The sequence below is a fragment of the Homo sapiens genome, chromosome 2 (genome assembly GCF_000001405.40).
Source record: "Homo sapiens chromosome 2, GRCh38.p14 Primary Assembly".
In the NCBI taxonomy this organism is placed as follows: domain Eukaryota; kingdom Metazoa; phylum Chordata; class Mammalia; order Primates; family Hominidae; genus Homo; species Homo sapiens.
Genome location: NC_000002.12, coordinates 44,390,310 through 44,401,127, shown reverse-complemented (window position 1 = coordinate 44,401,127; position 10,818 = coordinate 44,390,310). Strand labels below are relative to the sequence as shown.

Sequence of the window (10,818 nt, the reverse complement as noted above, 5' to 3'; positions counted from 1 at the left end):
ACTACTTTGTACTTCAAAGTTGATAAATCATTTGAGAATTGAAAATGCAGGACAGCACATAATAGGAACTTAATAAACACTTGTGGAGATTGCTCTTTCTGTTCCAATCTATAAATAAACAAGAACCAAATGAAGAACAAGTTAACTATGTATTTTATGTACATACATATATATATATATATATATATATATATATACACACACATAAGTATACATGCACATACACACATACATGTACTCACAAATATTTAAAACTTCTCCAGTAGTTCTACTTTCAATTTCAATTTTTAAATGCATTTCACAATTTTAACTCAAATAAGTATGTTTCAAAAATACGCTTTCTCGAAGATACTGGCTGTTGAAAAATATTTAAAATAGTGTTAGCTTATTTTTTATTCAATAAAATAATATAAATATTTGTTAATAGCTGTTGCCATTCATGGATGGTATGGGAAAAAATATTTCCCAAAGATTAATGATTAACTTGTTGAATTTTTTTAAAAAGGCTTATCACCAAAAGAATTTTTAAGTATTTCATTTAAATAGCTTTGATAAACAACATGACTAATGAGAATTGGCTCATCTTAAGTAGATAACTAAATATACAAAGTTTAACATCTTAAATGCTTCCAAATATACAATATGCATCAGGGATTGCAAATCTGAATGTCCATGGGTAGAGTGGTGAGTGCCAAGGCAAAATAAAGACCCTGCTCATTCCATATAATAATTACCATGTGAGCTCAGACTCGGGCCATTAGATCATTTTTTTTTTCTCTAAAAGAAACTGAAAAATCGACATTTTTATGTGAATATTTCTGATTTTTAAATCCTGGTTGTAATTTTTTAAAAATTATTGTATTACCTAAATAAAAAATGTATGTGTTCTGAACTCAGTTTCTATTAGTTTATAGGGCTTGTGGTATATGTCCTCTAAAATTGAAACTTAGATTTACCTCTCCATTATATAGAACATATTAACATATCAAATATAAATACACTTGTGTAGAATGAACAGATTTGTTTGGGTATGACTTGGGATTCAAATGAATCAATGCATACTTACTGAATACCACTTGGGTCAGGCTTTGTGAAAGGTACTATGCTGGGATAAAGAGTTATAAATGACTATAAATAATTAAGCTTCCAATCTTTCTCTTTCCTTGTCTTCTAAACATACACATATAATTTATCATCCAAATCAGAGCACTTTTGGGAGTGAAAGTAAGCATTGTTAATAATTATGATAAGAACAACTGCGACCACTGGAGGCAAACGAGGCTGTACAGTCACCCTAACTAAAAGAACCTGGTCTGTTTCTGTCTCTTCTTCTTCCAGTCTACCTACCCCAGGCTCACCTCCTGCAAGAAAAATCCTACATTGACAGCCGTCTTCCTCAATTCTATCATGACGAAATCAGAAGGAAAGGGGATAAAATGGAAGACAAGAGTTTTCTTATGATGGATACAAGAGTTAGAATTTTTTCTTAGCTTTTTTTTTTTCTTGATTATTTTGTATTTAAGAGGTGTAGAACCAGTAGCAATGTGAGATGGCAGGAGATGAGAGAGGGAAAAAAGGGAAATGGTAACAAATCTGTGGGAAATAAGAGAAAGATCAAAGAGGGCAATAAGAATCAATGCCCCCTCCCCCAACAAATTTATTGTTACATTAATTTCTCTTTTAAAGAAATTCAGAGGATAGGCACAAGCAGAGGAGAACTTGTGGTTTTCATCCCACACATATCATTTCTTACTTGTATCTAATGGCAGTGCAGTCAATCCCCACTAAATTCTGATTAAGTCACCAAGTATTAAAATAAAAACAAAGTCCAGGATTAACCAAAATATTATTTGTCTGTGTTTGACTATCACACAATTAAAAACAATACTTTTTTGTAGAAAATCAATCAGAAATTAAGTGATACAGAAGTCTGATCTTCAAAACCCTGGAAGGGCAAAGGCTTAAGACGAACTATGAATTTACCATGTGCAGCAAAGACTACACCTGATCCAGTATACCAGGACAAGCAGATTGTGAGCATGTGACGTATCTATAATTACACAAAACATGCGCCTTTTCAATCTCATACACACAGAATGATTGGAAACTTTTCCTTATTCCTTCCTGCAAACTGTTCCCACCTCCCAGAAAATAATGAAAATATTCAGACTCAGGGCTGAGTGGAGAGTAAAAGTTCAGAGAAGAGAAAATTTTTTTTAACATGGAGTATATACACACAAACACTAAATTCATTCAATCATCAAATATTTTGTTCTTATCAAGCATTAACAAGAGCAGTGCAATATACACAGTTCATATAAATGTCAAATATAACAATTCTCTGTGGAAAGGCTATCCACAATCCAAACAACTTTGTTAAAAATCAAGAACATCCTTTTAGTTGAGCTCTTTGGGTGATTTACGTTTATGTAAGCACTTTTAAAATATATAGCCATAAGCTTGAGAAGTACCTTAGAGAAGGGGCTATGTTAAAACATAACTTGTTATTACTATTGTATTATCGTTACAAAAATCAGCACTTCTCAAAAAAAAAAAAAAAGAAAAGAAAAGAAAAAAGAAAGAAACTGAAGTAAAACAAAGCCCGCATTTGGTTTAAGACTATTAAAAGAAAACGCATTCTTTGTCCCTTATCCACACTCCCCAAATCCCCATTCCATTAGATTGTCAACTACCTTGCAGAAACCCTGGAGAGCCCATTTTTCTTGACCTTTAATCAGTCTCCTCTGAGACACAATCTGCTGCACAGAATTCCATTTGCCAAAGTTATTTTCTAGCCCTTCAAGTTACCACTTTCTGTTTCAATTCCCATCACAAACTTTTAAAATTCATTTCTCGCCGTTTTGGAGAAATGTAGCCTTTAAGAAATAAAGTAGAATAGTTAAATTCCTGTGCCACCACCTACTAAATCTTTAAGCAAATTACCTTGTTCTGGACATCAGTTTCCTCACCCCTTGTAAAGACGTTAAGATTATTAAACGGGACAGTACTTACAAAGCTCCTGACAAATACTGTAAAGGATGCAAAAGTAATGGTAGCTATTTAAAAGACAGACAAAGGAAAACTACTCAGTATTTGCTCGGGGGAAAAATAAAAAGACTTTCTTGGCATATCTTGTGCTAAAACTTGGAAGTACCTAAATTAGAAACATCCCTTTAGATATTTAAAAGAGGGAGAAACTAGCAGGTTTATGACAAAGACATGAGCTACCTCTCTATATTATTGCACTGATTAAGGCATATGAATCTACAAAGGATTATAGGGTTTATTTCAGTCAGTTCCCATGATAGCACCAAGTTCTACTGTCAAAGAATCATTCCAATTCTGTGGTTTCTTATTTCAAATAGAAATTTTTAAAATACATTAAAAAGAGACTTCTTTTTCCTTCTTTGGTAATTGATAACAAATGTGTCTTTTTCCTTCTCTGGTAATTGATAACAAATGTGTCTTTTTCCTTCTCTGGTAATTGATAACAAACGTGTAGGGCTCTGTTTATGAATTAGGGGCACGCTTACCTGATTTTGAGCCAAAAGAAAAAACCGTCCTGACAACTGTGGAGCTAAGAAGTTGGAGACACATGGCTAGGGAAATTGCCATCTAGCAACCGAAGCCAACCTTCAAAAATTCTAACACAGACTAAGAATCAAAGACTACATGTACATTACGATGCTAAAGAGGGACTAAGAATCCACTGCCATGCTGCATACCATCAGTGCTCCACTGGCTTTCAGGTCCCCTATACTCTCAGGGCTGCTGATCATTACCCATGCGTTCTAACCACATAATGCATTGATGACCTTAAATATTTATTTTGTAACACAACTTATAAATTTTCTATTCCCAAAGCTCAATATTCTGCCACTGACTGACTTTAACCTCTTTGTACTTTCCCAACCTAAGAAAGGGTTAAAATGATTTGATCTCTGATTCCTTATCTCATAAGTGTAATGGGGGACTAATACATTAACATCTAACATGCTGTGAGCTCCTTCAAGAAAAGTATTATTTTAAAACAAAATATTGTGTACTTTTTCTTTTTTTTTTTTTTTTTGAGATGGAGTCTCACTCTGTCGCCTGGGCTGAAGGGCAGTGGTGCAATCTCGGCTCACTGCAACCTTCGCCTCCTGGGTTCAAGCGATTCTACTGCCTCAGCCTCCTGAGTAGCTGAGACTACAGCCTCACGCCACTACGCCCAGCTAATTTTTGTATTTTTAGTAGAGACAGGGTTTCACCATGTTGGCCAGGATGGTCTCGATCTCCTGACCTTGTGATCCGCCCACCTTGGCTTCCCAAAGTGCTGGGATTACAGGTGTGAGCCACAGTTCCCATCCTGGTTCCTTTCTTTCTTTCTTTCTTTTTTTTTTTTTTAGAAAGGTAATCATTAGTTGAAAGATATGGATATTTAAAATTATGAAAGATATAATCAGACTGCCTCTGGAAAAGTAGAATTAATTTACCTACCCCCCTCCACCAACAGTGTATGAGAATACCCAGTTCCCTACAATTTACTGATTACTGCTTAACTTCTTTCATCTTTGCCAACCTGATAAGCAAAAATTATCTCACTTTTAAAAATCATTCCTTCAATTCCTAATAAAATAACCATTTGATGTACATACAGAACATTGCTATTTCTCTTGTGAAATACCTCTTCTTAAATTTTTGGCTACGTTTTTCTCTATCTTACAGGTTTTCAGATTGTCTTTTTATTATGGATTTGTAAGAGCTCTTTATAAAGAAAATACATCTTCATCTGAATATATGTCATAAATAATAATTGCCAGTGTGTAATTTGTATTTCAATTTTTTTGATGCGCTTTTTGAATAAAGGGTCTTTAAATCTTAAATTAGTCAATCTATTAACCTTTAAATTCATGGTGTTTGACTCGCACTTAGAAGGACCTTCTTGATTTCAATATATTAAAATTATTCATCTGAAATATCTAAGAGTGTTATGTTTTTAATTAAATACTTAACCCATATTAAATTTATTTTGGCATATAGTATATAGGAGGGAGTCAGCTTTATTAGTTTCCTAAATTCCTAGGCAATGGTCCCAATACTATTTATTAAAGAATCCATCCTTTCCTCTCTTACTAAAATTGTATCTTCATCATATGTTAAGTCACATATATTTAGGTCTTTGTGAACACTTTATTCTAAAAATATTGATTTATATGTGTATTTCTGCAATAATGCCACACTATTTTAATTGTGTAGCTTTACATTGTTTTCACATAACAAAATAATGTATGATATTAAAACAGAATGGCACATACCAAAAATATCTTCTATCTTGTATTATTTTGAATAACAAAGGTACTGAAAAAATTCAAGAATGAGGCAGATGATATTACTAACCATAAAAAATACAAATACTATTTACAGTTTACTTGGTACTTTCACATTATCTAATATTATGTTCACCTCACTATAAAGTACTTATTGTTTCCTATTCAATTTTACATAAGGAGTTAAGACTTGTACAAAGACTCGTCTACAATTACACAGCTAATAACCCGCAGAGCTAAAACCTGAACTTCATATCCCATGTACCTTCCATAACCACTCTAAATTAAAAACAGAGCAATGACCCATAAAAGCCCAACTTTTTCATTTTTTAATCAAACCACTGTACTGTGTATATGTATATATCTGTATATAAATATAGATATACAATGCATACATGTATATATAATGCATATGTATACACATACACTACATAGATGCATTATATATCTGCATATGTACATGTATACACATATACTACATATATGTATATATGCATATGTATACACACATGCTACATATATGCATTATATAACTACATATACATATACACATACATATGCATTACATATATAGACATCTTTATTTGAATAAGAATAGCATTTTAAAATCCAAGCTGACATTCTTGAAGCTTTGATAATTTCACCAACATTCCAAACCCTAACTTTATAACATAACAACAATGAAACAGAAAAACTAAAAATTTAGACCATATTTCCAAAGAAACTATTACCTTTGGTTTCCTAAATACAAGTAAAAAGTGAAAACATATAATTTTTTTTCCTCTAGAAAAACCAGGAAGATAAATATTTGATTGTCTTTTTTTTACAGGAAAAGTCTTGCTATATTGCCCAGGCTTGCCTCAAATTCTTGGGCTCAAGCAATCATCCAGCCTTAGCCTTCTGAGTAGCTGGGACTACAGGAACATACCTCCACACCTGACTTTTATTTTAATGAGTCTTGCTTTCAATAATAACTGATTACCACCCCAAAAGAGATCAGTTTTAGATACATCACAAACAGACAAACAGATTCTGCTATCAGACCACTAGGAAGCAAAGTCTATAGCTGTGTGCATTAAAAATCCTGGTCAGGTCAGGCACAGTGGCTCTTGCCTATAATCCCAGCACTTTGGGAGGCTGTGGCGGGTAAATCACCTGAGGTCAGCAGTTCGAGACCAGCCTGGCCAACATGGTGAAACTCCGTCTCTACTAAAAAGACAAAAATTAGCTGGACATAGTAGCAGGCGCCTGTAATCCCAGCTACTCGGGAGGCTGAGGCAGGAGAATCACTTGAACCTGGGAGGCAGAGGTTGCAGTGAGCCAAGATTGCACCATTGCACTCTAGCCTGGGGGACAAGAGTGAAACTCCATTAAAAAAAAAAAAAATCCTGGTCAGTCTTAGAATTCACTAGGGAAAACAAAAATCACCACTGTCACATGTACAAGTATATATGGCAGAGGGTCTACAAATTCCTCCAGGAGATAATGTGACACCAACTACCACAGGGTCCTGTCATGGAGCTCAACCAAGAAAAAAAATTTTTTTCAAAGAATAGTAGAGAAGTTTTACCAATACATCCCCCAGACTTAAGCTGCAACATTTGCCAGGAATCCTGCTTCACAATGATATTACTGAAATGATTTAACTGCTGACCTCCTATCCTTTAAAGGATTATATACATTATATTGTACATAGTTTATAATAAATTATACGAAGTACTAACACTTCTGTTCATACTACTCAACAAAGGATGATGTGCTTAAAATGTTCCAATGAATCTACTACAGACCCAAGCATAAGATGAGATGTTATAAACAACAAATAGTTAAATTAGATACTATGGTATCCAAATTTGGATCAAGTAAGCACTGAGAATTACATTTTTAAAAATTCCTTTCAGTAGTGGAACGAAATAACTTTGGAGAAAAGGAAAATGATTTTGGAAGAGACAGCATGGTGCAGCTTCTTTGACCAGAGGTCAGAGGACAAGCTAGAAAGGAGTCCCTGCCCACAGAAAAAGCAGAAGCAAGAAATCTGCTACAATGCTTATAGAGCACTCCCTTGTTACCCAAGGTATCTGAGCGACATATCAAAGGAGACACAGAAGCAGCCAGTACCTCATCTGAGGTGAAAGATGTCATCCTATACTCTTCCCTAGGTAGCTTGTCAGCATGTCTTTCTGGGCACAATGAATCAATAGTAGACACAACCTCCTGACCAAGAAGCTTTGATATCTCAAAAGAAAGTAGGTTCTCAAGTAGTAGAAACCAAATAATGAAATATACATACCTATTCCTAGTTAAAGGTAAGCACTTTCAAAATGGTTTGTTTTCCACCATAGTAAATATAAATATATAAAAAGAAGGTTGGGTCGTATATCACACAGCAATAAATCAATACGCAGACGTGATTCATTCTGTACGAGATTCCTCTTAATTTCTTCCCACAACATTCGAAGAAATTCAAGCAATGAAAAGTTACCTCAAAAATATAAAACACTTTGCAGTTCATACATTTAAAACCACAAAACTTCTATACAAAAAAGTAAATACAAAAAAATTATCTTTTCTAATAGTAAATAAGTTATCTAGAGGTTTATTTTCCAAAATTAAAGAGATTTTTCCACGTCTTTTCACTTAGAGCATAAACCAATTCAGAAGGTAAGACTGATCCTTTCATCTCTGAAAATTTGCAATGAATATAATCATCCCCTGATATTCAAAATGAACTTACAATTGAAATTAATGGTTCTACTAAACCATGACCATACCTTTTTTTACTGTATCTACACATATCAGGTTTTTGTGACTAGAAAATGTTTTAGTTAAGCTGTTTTTTCTATTACTAGGAAGCATTATTAACCTAGAAACAAATTCTTAAAATAAATAGATAATTCCATCTCTTGGTTCTCTCATCTATTAGAAACTTTTTTCCTCATTCTAATTGTCCTTTAACATACTACCATGGTGGTGATTTATGAACTGATACTCTTGTATGGAACTTTCACTCTCTATCAAAAGTACTTCTTTATTTAAAGCTAGAAGTAGAAAAATTAAACTGATATTTTTAAAAATTAAAAAATCGGCCAGGAAAAATCTATTTTTTTGTATTTTTGAATTACTGAATATATTAAATATATTATAAATGAATCAAATAGAAATGTTTAGACACATCTTTATATGTCTACATGGTAAAAGCTTAGGGTTATTATTTGAGCTATTTATCCTAATTATATTGGGCTATGACAAAGAATTATGATTGTGGCGCCCTCTGCTGGGTTTTCTAGTCACAAACTCAATATCACTATTGGCATAATAAAATCAAATTTTTGAGGCATCAAGTGAAAAATCACTTTTTCAGTCCATGGTTACTTTACGTCCAAGATTATATAAAAGTCATAATCAATATTTACTTTATTGGAACAGGACTTTACCAATTTATCATTAAATGAAACATCTATATAGATTTTTCTGTTAAAATAAAAAGTAAACATAAAAGGTACACAAAACAACATATTTTAAGAGGTCTTATTTTTGTCACCACTTCTATCACTCAGCAATATATCCAGGTTTTTAAGGCAACATTTATAATGAGGCATTTTAATAAACAGCTATTTTGCTAATTTTATCTAATTTTTCTGCCCTGTTAGTTCAATTAAAATAGTATAAGACAGAATAATCCTAATAATATTATCTTCTTTATTAGGAAAAAACCAAAAGAGGTTATATAGGTACTCATCGCCAGTAATAATTAATAACTTTTATTGCATATCAACTCTCAGCCATGCAGTATGTACGTACTTTCTTTATAACACAGCCAGCCCTAAGAGATGAAAACAGTTGAGGTTCATAGAGATGATACAAATTGCTCAAGATGAATTTCAGAGCCAGAAGTCAAATGCAGGTGAGTATCATTCCAAAGTCTTAAACCTTTCTACCAAACAAGAGACAACAGTGAAAAAACACCCTGAATATGCAATATTTCCGTTTGTTCATGCAACAACAACACGGGGTATGGAACAAGTTGATGGGAAAAAATGTTAGAGAAGGCTAAGACAGTCATTCATGCCTAAAATAATAATTGATGCCTTTAGGAAATTATTTTTATTTTACATAATGCTGTCAGCTAGTGGCCCTATTTCATACGGAGCCAACTGGGAACAATACTTGACTTTTACATTACTGAATCAAAAATTCCACATTTAACATTCTAGAATCATTTTCTGAAATTACATATGTTTAAGCCTGACTCAATGATATTTAACATTACCCCAGAACTAAAAGAGTATGTATCCTCAACCATCATTGGTATGCTTTGCCCAGTCCTTGCCTAGACCTAATAAAAATATGAGATACACCTAAGTGGGAGAGAATTCACTAAATGCCAACATGGAAAAACTAAAAGGCATTCGGGTTCAAGTTGGTGTTTGGAAAATTTAAAAAAAAAGAAAGAAACTAAAAGGCACATCAGTCACTATCCATAAAAAAGAAACCTACATTATTTTAGGTATTTAGGATAATTTAAGGACATTTATAGATTCCTTAGTGAACCACAAATATTTTTCTATAAAATCAAAAGCTTATCATAATGTGGACATAAGAACAAAAGTGTTGTCTGAGTATTACTGAACACAATTCTATGCAAATCTATTTATTTGATAAAACTGCATTGTTAAGCCAAAGACACTACCTAAATTCAGCCAAAAGTTAACAGTTCTGAAATTTTCTTTGAGAAAAAGAGTATGAGTACTATTTTTACATTTAAAATGCTCATATTTCATTGACAATTCACTATCTTAAGAGAAATGTCCTATACAAAAAACATAAAAAGTCCATAGCTCCTATGATGGTATGCTGTTTAACTCAGTGACATAAAGGTATTCTTGGCTGATGTCTTTCATCACATGAAATTAATTACAAGAATTATAAGAAATATTTAAGTGATTTTCTCAGTGGACAAATCTATCACCAATTAATCAGAAGCTTTGATGAAAAGGCAATATATTCTGTAATATTGTAATACTGCATCAAACAAAAACACTCTGGTATTAATGTATAGTAGCATCAAGAAAAATATGTTCTGGGTTTATTCTACAGTGAAAGTAAAGAAGCAGGGAATGGCAAAGAAAGCACCCGAAACAAAGCAAAGAAGGAAGAAACAGCCCCACTACTGAATTAACTGAGGTCAAAATGGAAACAAAAATAAAAGGGACAGTACTTCAGTGTCCAGTGTTCTTTCTGACCTACTCTCTCCATCTCCCTCTCTCTCTCCCTCCCCCACCTCCCCCCCACACACACACACCTGCGAAGTTTAGAAACTGCAGTATCCCATTTTGTCGGTGTACCTTATACAAGGCTTATTTTGCAGCTAAAGACAGTCAAACTTTCTATTATATATACATATATGCATACATTTAGTGAGTATAATAAATATTAGTGAGAAGAAAACATCAACTATAAATTCACTTTGTAAAACACTAAATATATTTCTATAGAGTGAATGTATAAC

General features: G+C 33.1%; 1 protein-coding gene and 1 long non-coding RNA gene across 8 annotated transcripts in view; both read right to left on the bottom strand.

Moving 5' to 3' along the window:
• Window positions 1-10,818, bottom strand: part of CAMKMT (calmodulin-lysine N-methyltransferase) — a 410,646-nt gene that overhangs the window by 371,465 nt on the left and 28,363 nt on the right. The window lies entirely within an intron of this gene.
• On the bottom strand, window positions 17-10,816 carry LOC124905998 (uncharacterized). Its single transcript, XR_007086301.1, has 3 exons — window positions 7,600-10,816; window positions 243-355; window positions 17-108 (listed from the first exon to the last, which is right to left on the bottom strand). It is a non-coding gene; the product is annotated as an uncharacterized LOC124905998 (long non-coding RNA).